Source organism: Homo sapiens, chromosome 6, assembly GCF_000001405.40.
Source record: "Homo sapiens chromosome 6, GRCh38.p14 Primary Assembly".
NCBI lineage: Eukaryota > Metazoa > Chordata > Mammalia > Primates > Hominidae > Homo > Homo sapiens.
This window is the reverse complement of record NC_000006.12, coordinates 95999318-96022925: the sequence shown is the minus strand read 5'-3', so window position 1 is coordinate 96022925 and position 23608 is coordinate 95999318. Positions and strand designations below refer to the sequence as shown.

Below are 23608 nucleotides of genomic sequence, written 5' to 3'. Positions count from 1 at the left end.
ACAGGAGCCCTTTGGGATTTTGGACAGATCACCTCCTTAACATACAGGATATACACGTACCAGGTACACCTCATTTGAAAAGCAGCTATTAGCTTGCTACTGGGCTCTTGTCAAAACTGAACTCCTGATCCTGAAGACCTTATGACTGTCTGGCATACTATTTCATTTTGGGGTGTACCAACTCAGATTCAATGACGAACAAAGGTAAAAAGGGGTCCTATGAACCTCGCTTATAAAATAGAAAGAGTATATTCCAGCTTGTAGCTTGCCCAGCTCTCCAGTGCCATCTCACCTTTACATGAAAAAGTGGCTCATTCAACTGTTGCAAGTGCCTTAAATTTAACTCTCTGCCAGATCTGCCATCCCACACCAGAAAGCTCTGACCATGATTTGATCTATATTCACCTTAACAAAAGCAAAAAAACTACTGGAAATATCAGGAGATGGTCTCAGTTTCTGCATTTCCCATGCAATACCTGTCAACACCTCCAGATGTCTTTCCCACTCCCATTTCTGTAACTCTTGCTTAACCATTCAGTGCAGACAGACAAACACAATTAAGCTGTTGGTGAAGACAAATAGGACAAGTTGGATTGACTGCCTTCATGCAGCCTCTTCAAAACAAGGAGTACAACCAGTCACTCATACTTAACTTAGTGGGTTAAATTAGTCTCAGACCTTTTAGGACCCTTGAAAGTCAGCAGGAATTGACTAGTGAAATAGCTCAGTTGGCTCTCTACAGGTCAGGGCAGTGAAACATCGTTATCACTAACACCTATGTCTTGTAGCTCATCTCATGTCAAAGATTTCCCCATTTTTCCTTGAAGCTCTCTAATCATATTACCCATGTAACTCAGACACTTTCTTCACACAACGAATGTCATGAAAACATAAAGTTGTAAAGTATTCATAAAACAGTCAACAAGTTAGGAGGTATATTTTTCCCTCTCATGTAAAAATTGAAGACCTTATTTTTTTCTCTTGGTAAACCAATATTGAACATAAATTAACCAGATCCTTCATGGGCGTAAGCTATTCCTACTATAGTATAATTCAGGTACCTTCAGAAGCTGTTTGGAGCCATTATTTTTTTCAATAACATATATATTATAAACTTTACCTGGCTATAAAAGTAATTGTCCAGTCCGTGTTCTAGGTCAGATGACATGTAATACGTATTATTTAAATGCTGCCATATACTTCTCCCAAATTACTTAATGAGTCTATATTTTATCATCCCAACTATATGTCATCTTCCTTTTCTATCACTGAATTGCAACTGTTCAATAAACATTCATCAGAGTAAATAAAACATAGATAATTACAAATACCTTTTAAGGTTGTCTAACTTACTAAAGTGGTTTTTAAACTTTTGATTATAGGATAGCTATTACACATATTGTTCATAACCTCCTTCCCTGCATCCTCCGCTTGTACTTCTCTGTGAATATTCCTTGAAGATTTAAGTTTCTTAAAAGGTAAGCATTTCCTACTTACTTTAAAAGTATATACTTAGTTACATTTCCATTAAAAGATTACCCTATGACCTCCAAGGACTGAATCAACCACTGAATTTGTTAGTTTGGGACTACCTGTGTTCATACTACTAATAGGTTCCTGCATTGTCCAAAAAAAACAAAACAACAACAACAACAACAAAAAACTCTGTCAGAGTTAAAATTAGTATAGAAAGCAATGGAAACTTGCTTTTTTTAAGGAACTAAATAATTTTTGTTGTCAAGCCTTAGCCACAGCATGCCTAGATCCATGTTACACAAAACAGATTTTCTTTTTTGGTCTTTTTGAGTTTTTCCTGGACACCCTTGTTTAATACCAAGGTGACATCCCTAGGTTAAAGCAGCTGGTGTCTCATCACTCCTTTCTATTTGTTCTTACTGGCTTCTCCACTTAAACTCTAAGCTGCTTGAGGTCAGAGCTTAAATCATACTTACTCTTGTGCCTGCCATCATCACTTCAGTTCTTGCCCCATAGGCCCTCAATAAAGAGAGGCTGAATTGCACTCCAAAGAAACTATGTCAGGGGAGCCTTAGAAGTGTAGTTTTCCTCTCATCCAAATTTGCATCTTGATGTGCTATAAGAAGACCAATGCCTAAGATCAATGCCTCAGCTTTTGAATCAGCCACCCAGCAGTGCAAGATCACTGGTTCCCCTAGTTTACATCAGTCCAAGCACGTTTAGATAATATAGTGTTGTTCCAGAAAATGTAATGGAGATATCAAAATATGTCACCATGTTATTCTTCCTAGATGAAATGATGGTGATGAGCCACCATAACCAAGAATACAGTTTAGAGCTTATTTTTTTACGCAGTAATGATGATGGTTTCCTATTGATTTAGTCATTCACTTCCATTGATCCCTCTGGCTATCAGTGAAGAGAAAGCTAAAAGTGCCAGGATTTTCATCTGTGGGCTTGAAACTTTGTGAAACAAATTTACCTTCCCTGACCACCTGAGTTATTCACAGTCTATGGAGGTAAAAATTTAAAAATAAATAAACATATGGATACGAAACCTTCTCTGTGATGACATAAATATTGAATCAGCATGGAGATGAAACTGTAAGTGCATTTTGCTTACAGAAACTAAAATCTGTTATTTTAGGAATATTTTTCAGTCAATTGTCTATAAAAGCTTATATGGAAGTGTCCATGACATGCTATTAACATGAAAAACCTTACACTGCATAAGTGAGGAATTTCTAATAAAAATTATGCAAAAATGTTAAAAGATTTTTAGGTGGGCTAGTTGCAGTTTAATTTTTGAATATTTCCCAAGCTTTAACCTGAAGGTGGGAGTGAATGAAAAAGTCTGGTTGACTGATTACCTTTAACTATGGTGTGTTAGAAGTCTAGGCATTGAGATGGTCCTTGAAGAAGCACAGACCTTTTATTTCATTTTATTTTCAGATTTCTTTAACATTAATACTGACTTCTCCTTTATTAACATCTTAAAATAAAAGAAGTGGAAAATGTTTTTATTTTATAGAAAGACAAATACAGCATGGAATCAGGAGAACAGGATTTGAATTCTGTTTCTATTAACTACTTTGAAACTTTGAGCAAGTCATTAGTAGAGTAACAGAAATGGAATGTTCTCTATATTTCTAATCAACATCTGAATTCCGTGAATCTTTCTATTAAGAATGCCGAGCATTCCATTTGCAGCTAAATTAATAAAATTGAATTTTACACAATCAGTCACAGGTAAAAATCACAGAATTTAAATGTTTCTGTTAGGAATTTTAATTGTACATTAGAGTTTATGAGAGTATCACTTTATAGCATTGTTGTAAAACTTTGGTTGAATCATCATGCTTATTTTGAAATATTCATTTTACATATTTGCTCCTAAGAATGCGTTCTGCTAAATACTCCCTCCTGAATGCAAGATAGAAAGCAAAATTATGAACATTTTTGTAATAATTTGATACTTACAAGTGTAATTTGGGGGTTATTTGAATTTATAAAATTTGCATTTTATAATATAGAGACATGAATTTATAAATAAAAATGCAAATACTTATAAAAACGTAATAATACATCCACCGCAATGAAAAAGAAAATACAAGAAATATATATTAGAGTATAAAAATATTGTATGTGGTTATCTCTTGACTGAATCCTCTTGCCTTCATAAGACACTAAATTGTTTAGCTCTTTATCTATTATTATAATTTTAGGTATGTGTGAGGTGTAAATATGTGTGCTTTTTTTAAGGTATTTTTGTAAATTTGTCTAGAATTTTATTTAGTTCAATTCATCAATTGGATTACACAAAATGGTTTGCCTCTGATGCTCAGATTTTACTAAATAAAAGGAATAAAAGGCTTTATTTTAAAAAACTTGTATTATTATTGCTATAATTAAGGAGTCATATCCTAAAATTCAAGTGGGAAAACAATTGCTATTCCAAATACCAAAATAATACCAAATAATAGAACTTTTATTTAGTTACCTTATTTGATTAAAGAATCAAATAAGGTAACTAAATACCAAAATAATAGAACTCATATTTAGTTACCTTAATTTGATTAAAGAATTTAAGCCAGTCTCCAAGGGGTTGAAGCCTTTCTCTCTATCTCTCCCTTCCTGCAGCTTTCTCTTCCTTAACCATTCTTTCTCTTCATCACACACAAGGCAAAACATGGTTTCACATGGAACATTCAACCAATGGCAACTTGTTGATGGAATAATCTATATAATTTCCATAATTTTAAATATCTCTTTATAATGTTTAATTTATATTTAACATTGCAAATACTTAAACCCGTCATCCTCTAGGTGGCATATAATTATGAGCATTATAAGATACAGTTCAATGGTACTCAAAGATATGCCATTCCAATATTGGTGTGCCTTACCTCCCCATACATTATATTTAACTGTTTAGCCTTTCTTACTAATGCCAATGACATTAAATCCTGGCAGATCTTCTTGACTTTCAGCTCACCATAATTCTTTATAGAAATTCTTGCCAAAATTTTTGGCAGACTAGTTATTTGGATTCTCATAGATAATTCTGAGACCTTGTTAATATTTTCATGTTAATTGGAATTATATTAGAATACATTGACTTTAATTTATCATTAACATAATTATGGGCAATAACTGATCAAAGTATTACTCCTTGCTTTCAATTTGGGATGTATCGATTCTGATACAGATTAATTACTGTTGGATATACTGTGCATAGTAGTCACCCTAATGTTACCCAAATGAGAACAGCTTTGAATGTTCTCAGTCAAGCCCTAAATATAACCAACTAAAATTTTCAAATTTAGAAAACCAACAATAAACTCATTATTCACAGCCCCTCTTGACTTTTAATGCGGCTATCCACATTTACTTAAAACCACCCCTTGTCAGTGGACTTGCTCAGTGCATTTCTGCCTATGTCTTACACAAAAGGGAAATAAAATCTCAGATACAGTTTGAATGAAAACAAACCAACAAAAATTCCTGACATTGGAGAAGGTATTAAGGCAATATTAACTAACAAATTCCCTAGATGATGGCTCAACTTTCCCTTCCTATTTCTTATGTAGCCTGAGACTTGCTCCTTTAAGGTGATGAAGCATACATCTCTCTCCACCAACTGCAAGAGCAAGAATGGCACTTTAATTTATATTCCCCTCAAATTATAGTGATAATAATACCAGGAAATTTATATTGACACACTGCATGCCTCAGTGGGGCACCTTTTAAAGTTCCTAACATTTATTTCTGGATATTCTTATCCGTATTGCTTAGAACACAAGCCCTGTGACCAAGGGTTCCATGGAGTACAATGCCATGTTGAAATGAATGCCTTTTCATCATTTCTCTAAAATATTAAACCATAAATTTTGTGGGGTAGTTTTGTTTTTAAGATTTCAATACATGAGAAATTGAGAGCACAAATTTTATTATTTAAATGACCCCTCCCGATGTTCACTCCATCCCCCTTGCTCATATTCATTCATCGAACACAACTCTTTATTTTCTCGCACTCCAACTAGAAATAATAAAACGGTAAACATGGTTTCAGAAGAAACGACTACTGTTCTAAGAAAACTTCTACAGCAATACCGTCTGGTGCTAAGATACTACACAACTCTGGAAGCACCCAAATAGTGCAGGAGCTTCTTGGTACAATGTTTTCTAATCCTCCTATATCGCTCTTTTAGCCACTACACCTAAAGAAAAATAAGAGCTTTGGCTTATTGCAATTTCAAAGAAGATTTTAAAGGGTAAGTTTGGTGCTACTCTCATCTCCTTCAAGAAAAAGCTTCTTATCCTCAAGAGTTGCTGAGCTTTTGATAGTGTTGTTGCTGAAAGAGATTCACCACCTAGGCAAGTCCTCCGTTCTTAACCTGGAAGTAAGACCAATTCCGCAGGAACAGGTAAAATAGGTGTATTTCCTGTACTCAGCTAAGACGCCTCTCAATGAACAGAACAAACCTAAGCAATGCAAATAGTTCTGCGCTTTAAAACAACAATAACAAAAAGTTTGTTTCCAAAGGGTTTGGTTTTTGTCTTTATTTTTTCACGCTTGATAATACCCTTAACAGCCCAGGTGCTGAGTAACACACAAAGTAACTGTACAGAAACCAGGATCACAGCGTGTCTGTGTCAATTTCCTGAGGTGACTGTCAGAAAATCTGGACAGGCACCATTGTGTAGAGGGAATGAGGTCAGAATTCACTAAGGACCATTCACCCTGGGAAGGAATAGGACGGGACAGTCGGGCTCGAGAGCCAGGCTTTGGGAAAGGAGAGAAGGTGGGTCAGGGAGGACTTTGTGGAGAAGGCTTTGTCAGCGCGAGATCGGGTGAAGGGTGGCAGATAGGGGCGTTTGTGCACTGGCATAAGGTGGGAACGCAGGGACAGTAACAGTAGAGATGACCCTGTTTGGGGTGACCAGAGGGTCGGGGCCATCTACTGCTGCTAGTGTGGGAGCCTGGGGGCTGGAAGGTGAGGCGGGACTGCGAGCTGCAGGCAGCTGTCCCCAAGACGGAGAGGGGTTCAGGTTGCCAGCAGGTGGAGTTGAAATCAAACATCCCCTTGGGGACCACAGAGCAACACCCTCCCTGGACCCTCTGCCTGGAGGACGGGGAATCACAGCAGCTGGTTTGGGGTGCCTCCCAAACCAAAAGATGTTCTCTCCGCGCCAAGCTTTGACGCCCGACCCCCTGCACTCTCCCGCCTACTCACCGGTCCTAGGGGTAAAGCGCCATCCGGGGCGCTCGCGAGGGCTGCGCGGCGCAGGAGGCAGGCAGGGCCAGGCGGCGGTGGCGGCGCTGTCCTAAGAGCGCGACTGGGGCTGGGGGACACCGAGGCAGCGACAGCGGCGGGGGCGCGGGGAGCTGCAGGGGAGAGCAGTGAATCTGGAGCTGCTGCGCCGCGCGCGCTCTCTGCCCATCTCCGGCTTCGCTGAAGCTGCTACAGCTACTGCCGCTGGAGGGGAGGGAGGCGAGGGGGAGGGGAGGAGGCACGCGGTAGGGAGGGACGGAAGAGCAGGAAGGGTGGGGGGTGAGCAAGGGAAGAGGGGGAGATGGTCGCCCAGAGTTGAGGGGGTGGGGAGGGAGGCGCGCAGGAGCCCAGCAGAGGTTCCCACTAAATGAGCTTGGGAGGGGAAATGTAAGATGAGGCGATGGGTCTCTCCCCCGCCCTCCTTCTACCCTACCCTCCTTCCCCCTTCGCGCCCTTTCCTTGGGCTCTTCCTCTCGTGGCTCAGGCTGGGGGTTACCCAAGCTTGGCAGCAGCCGCGGCTTCAGCGCGCTGGTGCGAGTGCTGAGTCCGGGAGGCAGCCTCTACAGCTCTCCCCGCCACCGGCCTGTGGCACCTGTGCGCGCACACTGCCGCCCGCTCCATTGCGGCGGCTCCTGGACCAGGATCCGCAGCCTGTCGCCCTCCTTCTCTCCTCTTTCTGGGCAGATTATGATCCTACATGTGCATCCATGACATCTGTATAGTCCCCCATTGGTGTTTGTTTCCCTGGGCGCTCTTTGGCACTGGCTGTCCCGCCAGAAGGCGCCAGCAGGGAGCTCAATGCCGGCAACCATCGCCTGCCCCTTGGAGCTGTTGCCTGGGCAGGGGTGGCCTTGGTTGTTTACCGCCGGGGTTGACCAGCTAACGAGGTAAAAAAAGAAATTTATACATATATCGTTTTAACCCAATTGCCTCGGACCGTGTTCTCAATGATCTAGGAAGGTTGTAAGTGTGAAGGGCATAGTGACAGCCCATTACCTTCTGTCTTGGCTTCCTTCCTCCCTTTTCTCAACATTCTAAAAACCTAGGGATTGAAAGATCTCTGAATCTCTTTATCACAGAGCTTTTCATTTCCCCCTGCATTTTCCTAGGGTTGGTCCCGCTTTCGTAGTGTGGATTTTCGTTTCCTCTACTTGACTCTAAATCAATCCTGTATATTCGCAAACTACAAAGAGGCGCATGCAAATAGATACTGTACTGAGGGCAGATACACGCGCGAGATCCAGAGGGTGAGTTAACACACATTCAGTAAATATAAAAACAAGTGGAACATTATTAACTGATTTCTGTGAGCCGTAATTTTATTTTATAATTTTCACGTGGTAATTGGGGATAGACAGGGAGCAAGTAGATTATGTGTCTAAAAGATATGACTAGAAAAAAAAGTCTGGTAAAACTCTCCTCAAATAACATAACACATAAAGTGAGCTAATTATTCCCAGACATTCCCAGGAGGGAAAGAGATTCTGATTTTGTTTGGCTGGCTGGTTGTGTTGCTTTAAAAAAAAATGAAGTAATCTTTCAGTTGGTGGATTCGTTTTTTTAAAAGCCTAAAGGATCATAGTCTCTAGAATAAATAAGGTAGGCATTTCATTTTACATAAGTGTGTCTTATATAACAAATGTTCTCATATTTTAAAAAGTGCTCTCTTGACTGTAAATGCAATGTGGAAAAACATTTTCAATGCAATAGGCCATACCTAAATATTGATGAAAAACCTCTAGATTTTCCTGTATACATTCACATGAAGGAAAAAACAATGTTGGAGATAAAGTATTACTTGATGGGCTGGGCGGTATCAACTTGCTAGACTCTGTCCTGTTGAGTATATCTGCTAATGAAAATATTTGGTTCAACATTTACCTAATGACCTGACTGAGAGAACCACCTCCTTATTTAGGGAAAAAATATCTAATTATTCGAATACACCTCCCTTTTAAAAGGCATGTGTTACTGTCTTCAGAGATCCAGAGGTGTACCATGCAAATTCACCCACTGTTATTCTTTCAATAAAGACCATAGAAATAAAAGGTTGGCAAAGACTTACAATTCATTCAGCTCCCTAAGTCTTCTCAGTGGTGCCTATACTACAGAGGTGAACAATAAATTTTGCAAATGCCAGCGGCTACTTGGGCAGAGGATGGTTACCAAGAATTAATTAAATCTCTGTTTTCTCATTTCTGTTTATAATATTTCTCATCCCTTCCTTATTAAAGTAATTTACCTTTGAGAATTTTTACTATTTTCCTCCTGTAATTATGAAACTATAACGCAATAGCTTATAGTCTCATTTTATGGTTCTAAAGTGGCAAAGACAAATACGCAAGCTATAATGCCTTACAGCCAAGCAAAGGAAAGGGGTGATGTTTGGAGTAGAGAAAGCAAGCTTCTAACTCCTCCCTCCAGCTTACATCCCCAGCCGCTTGGCCCACCAGAGACAAGAACAGGATGATAAGCAATGGAATGGCATTGAACTCTCCTGCTGAAGGACTTGCATTTCAATGTAGATTCTGAGGCTGGGTGAAAACTTCTCTGTCACCTTTACTACAGCATTCTCACCCATTTATATTTCTTTCCCCTTCTACATCTCTATTACTGTTGCACTATGTTATGCATTACACCATGGGAAAATTAATCAATTAATACAATAAAAGCTTAATTTTAAAACCCTGACTCTTTGAACTTATTTAATTGAAAACAAATTCTCATGCTGAAATTTTCTAAAATCAGAAAGATTCAAAACCCTGTCTTTGAACTGATACTGCATGAGTGCCAGATATTGGTTAGCAAAGGAAATATCATTGCTCTATTTATTGAACACATATTCAATTAGCACTCCCTGTAGGCAGCAATATGTTAGGCCCCAGGGATATCACAGTTAAGAAAATTGCTAACTGTGCCCTTGTGAGGCTTAAGAGTCCAGTGATACAATAAAAAAAGTTTTATCACTAAGAAAGACGTTCTAGTAATAATGATGATCATGATAAATTTCAAGCTTAAAGAAGAAATATTTAATAATTTAATTATAGGCATTAAAAAGATTAGGAGTAAAGAAAGACAGATTATGAGCCTCTGCTATAACCAGTCCTTATGTGAGCTGCTGAAGAAAAGAGGAGAATGACGGGTTAGTTAAGAGAGTCACATTTGTTGTAGTAACAGAATACAGTGGGTACTTTTTAGGCAAGAGAAAATTTTGGTGAGCCTTAACTTTAAAAAATAAGCATCTGTTTTTATTCAAAGTGAGAAAAATGGAGAATAATAAATGTTTCTGAGGTTGCAGACACTTCTAAAAATTACATATGTACTATATCATACATATGATTAGCACTGCTGAATACATGGACTGAATCTATTATGAAGACAGTGGCAAAAATTAGCAGGTTTCCTTCTTTCTTCCCAAAGAATGTACCAAAGAATCAAAAGGAAAAAAATCACTCACAACTTTTTTTCAGTAAAATCAAAAGACAGGTAATCTGCAGTTTCCAAAATTTGTATGTGAGATCCCAGAACTGCTGAGATCAACCAGAAGTCTCAGAAGTGAAAGAAAGAAGGGCAGAGAGTGGGCCCAATGATACCTAATTTGAGAATACACCAAAAAAAAAAAAAAAAAAAAAAAAAAACTTCTTGAAAGTGAGACTTTCACTCAGAAGAACAAAATCAATTTCCACTGGTTACAACAATGGATTCAGGAAATAGAGTTGGGGTATAGCTGCAAAAGGAGGAAAGAAAGAAACCTGACAAATGCAGGGGACTCAGTTGTGGCTAATCTCAGAAAACCTACAAAAATGTGATTCCTGAAGGTAAGTTCTTACTGTCACTTACGAAACCTTTATTTCTTGTTTGCACCAATCAGTATAGGAACTGGAATTTCCTACAGTGTGGATAGTGAAAGAAGCCCACTTGGATGTGTCTTGCAGGAAGTAATGGAGTGATACACAAAAATTAGGCAGAGGAGTGAATCTATCTCTGTAGCAGCAGTGAAGAGAAACCCTTTGAAAACCCCAGGAGTTATTTTCCTCTCCTTTTCCCAAGAACCTACATAAGAAAAATTTAACTCAGTTATATATGAGTAATTGAAAAAAGAATGGACACACTGTCAACACAAAAGTAGTATAGGAAAAGACTTCCAAAGGAGTAGTAAAATATATCAATTGTTGAAGAACACACACCATAGCAATGATGTCATGAAGAAGTTGAGAAATTTGTTCTAACATTACAGCAGAAATTTTCAAGAAGGCACAATGAAGGAATTGCTTTTATAAATGAAAACTACAAGGTACAAATGCAAGAACTTGGGAAGGGATGATGAGAGACAATAGGAGCTGGTGACACATAGCTGGGGGAACTCAGAAAAGAAGTGAGGAAAAAAAATACCTTCACGAATTAAGACTATAAATGGAAGAATTACAAGATAAAATGGACACTGAGATAGACACAGCAAGGAAAAGAAGAGACAGAAATAAGGAAGGCTAACAAAATGAAATGCAAGTAAAGAAAAAATAGACAGGATTAGAGAGAATACAAAAGATGGAGAAGATAGGGAATGGTAATCCAATAGATACATAATTAGAGAAAAGAAATAAGTGATGGGAAAATAAATATGTCAATATATTATTAAAGAAAGAAACATTCTTCAAATGAAAGATGACTTGATATTTCACTTTGAAAAGAAACAATGATTACCAGGAAAAATTGCCCCAGAATCATTGACATTGAGATGTGTCCTAGTACAGTAACTAGAATTTAAATTTAAAAAAGAATTTTTTTAGGCATGCAGGCAAAGCAATCAGTAGCTTATAAAGAAAAATACTGATACTGGCCTCAGAAGTCTTCACTGCAACTTTAGTGGAATCGAGCCATTCAATATCAGTGCAACAAAGCTTACAAGAAACCAAAGAAAATAAAATAAAACTAAGGTTTTCTTTTTCTTTTTAGCTAAATGGTTTTTCAAGTACAATGGGAATAGACAAACAATGGTGAAGATGCAAGAACTCAGGGACTATTATTCTTATGAAACCACCTTCAGGAAATCACTAGAATAATGAATGAAATTCAGCTTTCTAATAAATAAATAAAAGAGACATGCTGAATCAAGGACTGATTTTCAAGTTAATACATTCAGTGTATTTATCTACTGATCTACAATGTTAGAATATGAGAATTAAAGCAGTATAATGCAATATAAACCTTATAGGAAAAATAGACTCTGACAATATAAAAATGATATGAGATATAATGGCATCAATTGTCTAATGGCTGAGAGTCCAACAAAACCACTTAAAAGAACAAATAAGTAGCATGACATTTAGCAACACAAAGATGAAATTTAATCCAAATTATTTGATAAATTATCTAGTCAAGCAGGAAGGCATGGAGGAATAAGAAACACTAATTTTTATCATTACCTACTTTAACAAACTAACAGAAACATTTCTTACTTTAACTAAAATATAGAGCAATGCAGATAAATAATTACAAAAGTAACACAGAACAAAATGAAAATCTTTGTAAATATTAAGAATACATATATACGCTGGGCGTGGTAGCTAACACCTGTAATTCTAGCACTTTTGGAGGCTGAGGCGGGCAGATCGTTTGAGCCCAGGAGTTTGAGACTAGCCTGGTGACATGGTGAAGCCCTAACTCTACAAAAAAACACAAAAATTAGCCGTGCGTGGTGGCACACTCCTGTAGTCCCAGCTACTTCGAGGGGCTGAGGCAGGAGGATAGCTTGAGCCTGGGAGATTAAGGCTGCAGTGAGCCATGATTCACTTAACTTCAACCTGAGTGACAAAGCAAGACCTTGTCTCAAACACACACACACACACACACACACACACACACAGAAAAAATAAAACAGAACACAAAATGAAGGAGTTTTACAAAATAACAAGTGAAAACATAACACAATATGTCAGAACCAAAAGTAAGTATTTCCATTATATCAATAAATGTAAATAATCTCCTGTTTTATAGACAAAAATAAAGATTTTTATACTTTATCACTGAAAATAGAGTTCTGTGTTTTATATCTACCGCAAGAAAACTCAGAACACTTAAAAAATAAAAAGATGAACAAACATTTATCAGGGAAATGGAAACAAAGAGTAAGCAGGCGTTGCAATCTTAGTCAGAGATAAGGTGGCATAAAGCCTAAAACATGTTAAACAAGATAAAGAAGGATATTTTAAGGTGATCACAGAACAGACACCTTGCTATGAAAACAAAGCAATTATGAACATCTGTGTAGAAGATTATATATCACCAGCATTCCTACAGCAGCAATTATAAGATATTCAAGGAGCTAGCATGAAGCCCACCATTGATAAGTCTTAATACTTTATAAAATATAAGTAAAGTTTTGAATATTAAATGTCAATACACTTTTCAGGCCAATCTCACTTAACAGCGTCAGTGCAAAAATCCTAATTAAAATATTAACAAATGAACCTCAATAGCACATTACTGTATCAACACTAAGTGTATTTTTCTTTTTTTCCAAAAAGGTAGGAATGTTACTGTATTAGAAAATCTATTAACATACTTAGTCACTTCCCTTATCTATAAAATGGAAGTGCAATATTAGTATCTACTTTATAGGATCATTTTTTCAATGATTAAAAGAGTCATTGCATACCAAATCTTTAGGAAGAATGCCTGGCATAGAGTGAGTCTTTCATAAATGTTATCTGTTGTGTTTATCAGCATTCATAAGATGACTATGCTTGTGATAGTAATATAAGTCTTCTTATCATTTTCTTAAATAATAAACTTCTTATGTTAATTTATTAATATTGTATTCTCATCTTTTATCCCTTCTCCTTGGGGTTTTTATTATTGCTCTTTTAGGCCCTCTGTTCTTTTGTATTATCTTTAACATCCTACAAAAATTAAAATCAATTTGTAAATTCAGAGAATACCTAAGACCAACCACTTATTTTAAAATAATTTCAAATAATAATAGTAATATATGAGTGCACTACTTCTGTTTTAAATAGACTTTATTTTTCAGGGCAGTTTTAGGTTCACAGCAAAATTTAGCAGAAGGTAGAGTTCCCACATAGCGTCCACCACATACATGCACAGCCTCCCCATTGTCAACATCTCTCATGAGAGGCGTATATTTGTTATAAGCAATAAACTTACATTGATACATTATCATCACCCACTGTCTATAGTTTACATTAGGGTTAACTCGATGTTATACATTCTATGGATTTTGACAAATGTGTAATGGCATGTATCTATTATTGCAGTATCATACAGAGTAATTTCACTGTCCTAAAAATTCTGTTTCACCTATTCATTCCTCCCTCCCCCAAAGCTGCTGACAACTACTGATCCTTTTACTCTATCTATAGTTAGAGATGTCCTAGAATGTCGTGCAGTTGAAATCATATGTTGTGTAGCCTTTTCAGACTGGCTTCTATCACTTGGTCATAAGCATTTAAGTATCCTCCATGTCTTTATTATTGTTATTATACTTTAAGTTCTGGGATACATGTGCAGAATGTGCAGATTTGCTCCATAGGTATAAACGTGCCATGGAGGCTTGCTGCACTCATCAACCTGTCATCTACATTAGATATTTCTCCTGATGCTATCCTTCCTCTAGCCCCCCACCCCCCGAAAGGCCCCAGTGTGTGATGTTCCCCTCCCTGTGTTCCTGTGTTCTCATTGTTCAACTCCCCCTTATGAGTGAGAACATGCGGTGTTTGGTTTTCTGTTCCTGTGTTAGTTTGCTGAGAATGATGGTTTCCAGCTTCATCCATGTCCCTGCAAAGGACATGAACTCATCCTTTTTTATGGCTGCATAGAATTCCATGGTGTATATGTGCCATGTTTTCTTTATCCAGTCTATCATTGATGGGCATTTGGGTTGGTTCCAAGTCTTTGCTATTGTGAACAGTGCTGCAATAAACATACGTGTGCATGTGTCTTTATAGTAGAATCATTTATAATCCTTTGGGGATACCCATACCAGAACATTGCTTGCTGTGCTTAAGAATTAGATCAAAGTGAGACAGATGACCAAAAGCAACAGTGTCCTCAAGCTATGATAGGTCAAAGCACTGAAAAGCCGTATGTCCTCTATCCTGGGCAATTGCAGAGACAAATATTTTGTGCTCAAACATAAAATCACAGCAGATATATTTTCTGGTGTCTTGGCAATGAGCTAGCTGGGAGCTGTGACTCCCCTTTACCCTAGTGGAATGGACAGTAAAGCTATCAGTTCCCCAGGCCTCCAGGTGTTATCATCACTGTATAAACAAGTCATTTGCACAAACAGTGTTTCAGGTCTTGCGAATAAACCTCCCCCTGAAGAGCTGGTCCCTAATCTGACTACTGCTCCACCCCTTTTTAAACATTCTCAAGGGCACTCTCACCCTAGTCCTATAAAAAATTAGAGGAAGAGAGGACAGGTTTCCTTCCTGGAGAACAGTGTTCTTTACAATTTCCCATTGTGTTTTCACCCTTACGTGCTTCTCCAAGGGAGAAAAGAATGTGGCAAACACTGTTCCTCTGTTTATAAATTTCCCCAATAGAGCTTGTTTTTTTGCAGACCAGGTGGCATTGTGACCTAACTCTCTGCAGGACTGTAGGGAAAAAGAGACAAATTCACATTGTTCTTTTAAAAATATTTATATTTCATTTAAGCACCACAGTTCTGTTAGTGGCACATAACAATTAATTAGGTCATAAATTCACTAGTCACATTTTAGTGCTTTTAATAAGATTTCAGAGAAACAACATTCTCATCAGCTATAAATCCACAAATCATATTTCAGAATGTTAGTTCTGAAGGTAATACTTTCAATTTTTATTGATTCTAATTGGATGCAATTTAAAAAGGCACAATTTTCTAATACTGACACCAAGCTCTAGAGGTGCACCAAATCTAGACCTCAATCTCTCATATACTATATGGAAAATTTATCAGTAAGCTGACACTGAAAATCCTCTATGAGAGTAACATTTATAAACTTAAGATGTAGAAATATATGTGAGTTACAAAAGATTACTATTATTTAAATAGTGGTAGAAGTATAATATAATGATTTACATAATTTGTGAATTATATTTACTGCAATAAATAATAATTATCCAGAAGATGGTGTACTTTAAATACCACTTTAGCTAAGAGACCAAACAATACAGTTCTTCCAGCAAAAATGGAAGCTTATTATTCTTTCTTATGTAACAGCCTCAGGGGTTTCAATCATCTCTCCCTTCTTGCCTTTTACTATAAGCAGTCAGGAGGAATCAAGACCCTCTTTCAACACTTTTCTTAGAAATCTCCTTGGCTAAATACCCAATTTTATTGCTTATAAGTTCTACCTTCCACAAAGCACTAAAACACAGTTTAGCCATGTCTTTGTCATTTTATAACAGGGATCACCTTTTTCATTTCCCAAAATATATTTTTATTTTCATTTCAGACCTCACAGGAATCACCCTTAGTGTAAACATTTCTAGCCTGTACCACAAAACTCTTTCAACCTCTACCCATTACCCAGTTCCAAAGCTGCTTCCACATTTTTTGATATTTGTTACAGCAGTACCTCCATCTTTGTATCAAAATCTGTATTAGTCTGGTTCTCCAGAGAAACAGAATGTAGTAGGAGTTTTTAGTAGAAAGAAAATTTTATGTATGTATATACATACACAAATATATGTATTTATAAAGAGATTTACTATAAGATATTTGTTCATGAGATTATGGAGGCTAAGAAGTCCCAAGATCTGCAGTCAGCAAGCTGGAGATCAAAGAGAATTGATGCAGTAGTCCCATTTTGCTTCCCAAGGCATGAGAATCAAGAGAGCCTAATAAATTCCAGTGTAAGTGCAGAAAAAGTCCAATGCTGAAGCTCAAGCAGCCAGGCTTCCTCTACTCTCAGGAAGGCCTTTTTGTTTTCTTTAAGCCTTCAGTTGATTGGATAGAGCCTGCCTAAACTAGGAAGAACAATTTGCTTTACTCACTTGACTGATTCAATTGTTAATCTCATCTAAAAATTCCCCTATAAACAAATTCAAAGTAATGTTTAACCAAATGTCTAGGCACCCTGTGGCCTGGTAAAGTGGAACATAAAATTAACCATCATGGGTGGTGAAAAACTTCATTTTGAAAGCTTGTGATCCTTTGTAAGTTTGCAGAAACAACGTCCTTTCATGAGTCAGAATGTAGTATATAGCTTTATCTATCTCTAAGGGAGGTCAGGAAATGTAGTCTGTAGCTGGGTGGACATAAATTGACCTTAAACTTGGAGGTTTCTAGTACTTCAAAGAAAAAGAGAACTTACACTAGAAACAATCTATCTCTGTCTGCATTCACATGCATGTGTGTTGCACATTATTACCCTACTTTTTGTACCTAGAGTAGCAATAAAGAGGTCTTTTATACAGATGCCTTCAAAAAATTTTAAGAGGCCACTGACAAACAACCAGAGAGGTCACAGAATATTAACTGTTTTATTATGTTCTTCTCGTCTAAGTCCAGTGATCTTCTTTAACCTACCTTCTCTTCTTTTTACTTTTATTTTGGGCTCAGGAGTATATGTGTGTTTGTTATGTATGTGAATTGTGAGTCACAGGGTTTTGATGTACAGATTATTTCATCACTCCAGTAATAGGCATAGTACCCAATAGGTAGTTTTTCAATCACCACTCTCCTCTGAACCTCCACCCTCAAGTAGGTACCGATGTCTGTTGTTTCCTGCATTGTGTCTATGTGTACTCAATGTGTAGCTCCCACATATAAGTGAGAACATGTGACAATTGGTTTTCTGTTCCTGCATTGGTTTGCTTAAGATAATGGCCTTCAGCTCCATTCTTGTTGCTGCAAAGGATGTGATCTCATTCTTTTTCATGGCTTTGTATTATTTCATGGTGTAAATCTACCACATTTTCTTTATTTAGTCTACCATTAATGAGCATTTAGGTTGATTCCATGTCTTTGCTCTTGTAAATAGTGCTACAACGAGTACACAAGTGTATGTGTCCTTATGGTAGAACAATTCATATACCTCTGGGTATGTACCCAATATTGGGATTTCTGGGTCAAATGGTCATTCTAAGTTCTTTGAGAAATTGCCAAACTGCTTTCCACAGTGGCTGAACAAATTTCCATTCCCACTAGCAGTGTTTCAGCATTCCCTTTTCTCTACAGCTTCATCAGTATCTGTTATTTTTTGACTTTTTAATAGCCATTCTGACTGATTGTGAGGTGGTATCTCATTGTAGTTTTGATTTGCATTTCTCTAATGATTAATGATGTTGAGCATTTTTTTCATATGCGCCTTGACCATGCATATGTCTTCATTTGAAAAGTGTGTGTTCATGTCTTTTGTCCACTTTTTAATGAGGTGTTTGCTTGTAAATTTCTTTAAGTTCCTTATAGATTCTGGATATTAGTCCCTTTTCAGATGCATACTTTGCAAATATTTTCTCTTATTCTGTAGTTTGTCTGTTTACTGTATTGATAGTTTCTTTTAATGTGCAGTAACTTTTTAGTTTAATTAGGTCTCATTTGTCAATTTTTATTTTTGTGGTAATTGTTTTTGGCATCTTCACTCTGAAATATTTGCCAAGTGCTATGTCCAGAACAGTATTTCCTAGGTTACTTTTCAGGGTTTTTATAGTTTTAGGTTTTGCATTTAAGTCTTTATTCCATCTTGGGTTGATTTTTGTTTATGGCATAAGGAAGGGGTCCAGTTTCAATCCCTTACATATAACTAGCCAGTTATCTCAGTACCACTTGTTGAATAGGGAATTCTTTCCCCATTGCTCCTTTTTGCCAACTTAGTTAAATATTCAATTATTGTAGGTGTACAGCTATATTTATAGACTCTCTATTTTGTTTATTCTGTCTATGGGTTGATTACTGTAGCCTTGTAGTATAGTTTGAAGTCAGATAATGGGATGCCTCCAGTATTTTTCCCCCTTTAGGATTTCTCTGGCTATTCAAACTCTTTTGGTTTCATATAAATTTTAAAATAGTATTTTCTAGTTCTGTGAAGAATGCCATTGGTAGTTTGATATGAATAGCATCGAGTCTGTAAATTTTGGGGGGCAGTATGGGCATTTTAACAATACTTATTCTTCCTATCCATAAGCATAGGGTGCTTATCTATTTATTTGTGTCATCTCTGAATTCTTTCAGCAGTATTTTGTAAATCTCATTGTAGAGATCTTTCACTCCCCTCGTAAGTTGAATTCCTGGGTATTTTAGGTATTTTATTTGTTTTGTGGCTATTATGAATGAGTTTGCATTCTTGATTTGGCTCTCAGATTGAATGTAACTCATTTTTGCACATTGATTTTGTATCCTGAAACTTTGCTGAAGTTGTTTATCAGATACAGGAGCTTTTGGGAAGAGACTATGAGGGGTTTTCTAGGTATAGAATTATATCATCTGCAAACAGGGATAATTTGACTTCCTCTCTTCCTATTTGGATTCCTTTTATTTCTTTCTCTTGCCTGATTTATCTAGTTAGGACTTCCAGTACTACGTCAACTAGGACTGATGAGAGTAGGTATCCTTATCTTGTCCTGGTTCTCAAGGACAATGCTTCTAGGTTTTGTTCATTCAGTATGATGTTGGCTTCAGGTTTATCATAGATGCTTCATTATTTTCAGATATTTTGCTTCGATGACTAGTTGTTGAGGGATTTTAACATGAAGGTGATGACAGCTGGCAGCTGTCCAAAGCAACTGCTGCCATGGTACCAGCTGTGGTGGGGTGCAGGTGGTGGAGTATGGGTTTGAGCCATGGGTACTTAGGTGTGGATACTGAGGTGAACTGTCCCTGGGATCTGCTGCCCTGGGAGCCCACATCTGGGAGCCACTGCGGTGGGGCCAAGCTGGGCTAAGCCACCCACTGGTTGGGGAATGGCACCAACAAGCATGGAGGGACCCCAAGGCAGAACTTGACCCAAGGAAGTGATGTGCTTGTGCATGGAGTGTGAGGGCTGGTCCCGAACATGGAGCAGTGGCCGCATTTCAGGGCCCTGCAGTGGGAAGTGGGAGTGGCCCTTCGTGAGTGGGACCTGGCCAGCATCATGCCCACCCTGCCAAGGGCACTGTGCCTTGGTGGGAGGCTCAGCGTGGGGCCATCCTAGGATGCCTACCAAGGATCCACCCCATGTTGGGGTGACAGCTGAGTCTGGTGCTCCCAATGGCTGTGTCCATGGCCCACAATCCACTCCTGAAGGCATACTTATGGCATGGTCATGAGCTAAGGAAGGGGGAGCCCCTGTTCACCACTAAGAACTGGGGCTGCTGGGGAACTTGCAAATGTCATCCCTTCCCCAGAACCTGGCAAGGGCCGGGAGCCCGGCCCCAGGCTGCAAAGTGTCAGACAGGGCAGTAGGAGCAGCTTCAGAGGCAGCAGTGGTGGCAGTGTGTCCCCTGTGCCCCATGTCCCTAAGGCAGCTGACTGTGCCACACGCATCCTCACATGGTCTGGCAGGACCTGCTCCCAGGCCCAGAGCCTCCACTGCAGCTTTGACCTTGCTCTCTGCCATGTCCTGGGAGCCTACAAGCATCTGGCCAATGGTGCAGCTTGGACTCACAGGACAAGCCCAGGAAGCATGGGGTTCATTTGGGTGGAGTTGGCCAGGGTCACCGTGCCACCTGCACCTTGCCTGCTGCCACTGTGGCAAGACACAGAGTAGGGGCATAGCCTGGGACAGGGACAGTTGGGAGCCCTGCCCCTCCCAAGTTGGCAGGGCGGGAGCTCCCCAGGAACAGCTGCAGCCATCCAGGTTGTGGCTGTGGGCCCAGGCTTCCAGAAGCTCTCTCAGGGCCCAGAAGGGCCCCCATGTCACCACACGTTCAGGGGTGCCTGCTCCCAGTGCCTGCCCTCACCCTGCTGCCGGCACTCTGAGATGGGAGTGGAGTTAGTGCCAAGCCCTGGAGCTGTCACAGCTTGGCCTGGGGTGCAGCAGGGCCCCCTGCTGCATCGGCCCGTCCAGACTTTGGGCACCAACAAGTGTGGGAGGAGGCTCATATGAGGCTAGGAGCAGCTCAGCCTGTGGGTGCCCCTTGGCCTGAGTGGCCTGGGTACCATGAGTGGTGGCGGGAGGTAGACAGGCCCTTCTGCAAGAAGAGGTGAGTCCCAGTGAGGCTCCACCTTCAGCCAGGGAGGGCCTGAAGGTTGGGGCTGGGCTGCTAGTCCTGCAGATTGATGTGGGGACTTGTGATGCCTTTTCTTGGCTGTTCATGCCCACCCATGAACCAATCGGCATGCATTTCCTCCCCTCTGAGGCCCACAAAAGCCCTGGGTTCATCAGATCAGAGAAGAGGACAAAAAGACAATGAGACGACTGGCCTACAGAGAAGAGCTACCCTCTGTGGGTCTCCTCTGAGCTGTTCTAACACTTAATAAAGCTCCTCTTTGTCTTGCTCATCCTCCACTTTTCTGCATACCTCATTCGTCCTGGATGCAGGAGAAGAACTTGGGCCAAGGCACCACAGGCCACAGAGGTTTCTGGACAGAAAAAGCAACATTGCAAAAATCCCATATCAAAGGGATGTTGCATTTTATTGACAGTCTTTTCTGCATCTATTGAGATGATCATGTGGATGTTTTTTGTTTTGTTTATGTGATAAATCACATCTTTTGATTTGCATATGTTGAACCAACCTTGCATCCCAAGGATAAAGCCTACTTGATAGCAGTGGATTCACTTTTTGATATTATGCTGGATTCAGGATTCAGTTTGCTATTATTTTGTGAGGATGTTTGCATCTATGTTCATCAAGATATTGGCCTAAAGTTTTCTTTCTTTGTTATGTTTTTGCCAGATTTTCGTATAAGAATGATTCTGGCCCCACAGAATGAGTTATGAAGAAGTCCCTCTTCCTCAATTTTTGGGAGCAGTTTCAGTAGGAATGATATCAACTCTGCTTTATACATCTAGTAGAATTCAACTATGAATCTGCCTGGTCTTGGGCTTTTTCTGGTTGGTAGGCTTGTTGTTACTGTTTCAATTTTGGAACTTGTTACTAGTCTGGTCACAGATTAAATTTGTTCTTGGTTCAATCTGGGAAGGTTGTATTTTTCCAGAAATTCATTCATTTCTTCTAGGTTTTCTAGTTTGTGTACATAAAGGTGTTAGTAGTAGTCTCTGAGTGGTTTTCATATATCCATGGGGTTGGTGGTAATGTCCCCTTTGTTTTTTTCTGATTGATTGTGTTTATTTGGATCTTCTTTCCTTTTTTTATTTTTTAGTATATCTAGTTGTCTATCCATCTTATTTATTCTCTTAAATAACAAATTCCTAGATTTGTTGATCTTTGCATGGTGTTTCATGTCAAATTCCTTCAGTTCAGCTTCAATTTTGGTTATTTCTTTTATACTGCTAGTTTTGGATTTGGCTTGCTTTGTTTTTTACTCTATCTGTGATGTTAGGTTGTTAATTTGAGATATTTCTAACTTTGGATGTGGGCATTTAGCACTATAAACTTCCCTCTTAATACTGTGTCAGCTGTATTCCAGAGATTCTTAATACATGTGTGTTTTTTCTCATTAGTTTCAAAGATTTCTTGATTTCAGTCTTAATTTTATTGTTTATCCAAAAGTCATTAAGGAACAGGTGTTTAATGTCCATGTAATTATATGGTTTAGAGCAATTTTCTTTATATTGATTTTTATTTTGATTGTGCTGTGGTCTGAGAGTGTGGTTGGTATTAATTCAATTTTTCTGAATTTGCTGAGAATTGTTTTATGACCTCTTGTGTGTTCGATTTTAGGGTATGTGCCATATGCATATGAGGAGAATGTTTATGCTATTGTTTTGGGGTGGAAAGTTCAGTAGATGTCTGTTAGGTACATTAGGTGGAATGTCGAGTACAGATCCCAAATATCTAGGTTAGTTTTCTGCCTCTATAATCTTCCTAATACTGTCAATGAGGTTTTGAAATCTGTTACTATTGTTCTATGGTTATCTAAGCCTCTGTAGGTCTCTACGAACTTGTTTTATCAATCTAGCTACTCCTGTGTTAGGTGCATATATATTTAGAATAGCAAGGTCTTCTTGTTGAATTGAACCCTTTACCATTATGTGATGCTCTTCTTTCTTTTTTAATTGTCGTTATTTTGAAGTCTGTTTTCTGAAATTAGACTAGCAGCTTCTGCTTTTTTCTGTTTTCCATTTTCTTGGTACATTTCTCTCCATCCCTTTTCTTCAAGCCTATGGAGGTCATTGTATGTGAGATAAGTCTCTTGAAGACAGCATACCAATGAGTCCAACTTCTTGATCCAATGTACCGCTCTGTGCATTTTAATTGGGGGCATTTAGTGCATTTACATTCAAGGTTAATATTGATATGTGCTAATTTGATTCTGTCATCTTGTTAGCTGGTTATTATGCTGACTTGATTGGGTAGTTGCTTTATAATGTCAATGGTCTTTGTACTTAAGTGTGCTTTTGTGGTGGCCAGTAAGGGACTTTCCTTTCCATATTTAACATTCCCTTCAAGACCTCTTTTAAGGAAGATCTGGTGGTAACAAATTCCCTTAGCATCTTCTTTTCTGAAAAGGGTCTTATTTTTCCCTTGCTCATTAAGGTTAGTTAGGCTGCATATGAAATTTTGTATTGAACTTTTTTCTTTAAGAATGCTGAATATAGGCCCTTAATCTCTTCTGGTTTGTAGGATTTCTGTCAAAGGACCTACTGTTAGACAGATGAGTTTCCCTTTGTAAGTGATCTGCTGCTTCTTTCCTAGCTGCCTTTAAAATTTTTTCTTTCAATCTTGGAGAATCTGATGACTGTATGTTTTGGGGATGGTCATCTTGTGTAGTATTTTCCTAGAGTTCTCTGAATTTCCTGAATTTG

General features: G+C 38.6%; 1 protein-coding gene and 1 long non-coding RNA gene across 6 annotated transcripts in view; one reads left to right on the top strand and one right to left on the bottom strand.

Moving 5' to 3' along the window:
- FUT9 (fucosyltransferase 9) overlaps window positions 1-6952 on the bottom strand; it is a 199639-nt gene extending 192687 nt beyond the window's left edge. For 2 of the 4 annotated variants that reach the window (XM_047418089.1, XM_047418088.1), the window contains exons 1-2: window positions 6714-6952; window positions 1953-2092 (exon numbers count right to left, since the gene is read on the bottom strand). The gene's annotated coding sequence lies outside the window, so the exon portion shown is untranslated. The remainder of the gene's footprint in view (window positions 1-1952; window positions 2093-6713) is intronic. The other 2 variants (XM_017010190.2, NM_006581.4) reach the window with 1 other exon arrangement.
- Window positions 6953-7492: 540 nt separating this feature from the next.
- The window catches only part of LOC107986626 (uncharacterized), a 97612-nt gene continuing 81496 nt past the window's right edge, over window positions 7493-23608 (top strand). For both annotated transcript variants that reach the window (XR_001744263.2, XR_001744264.2), the window contains exon 1: window positions 7493-7639. This is a non-coding gene — a long non-coding RNA (uncharacterized LOC107986626). The remainder of the gene's footprint in view (window positions 7640-23608) is intronic.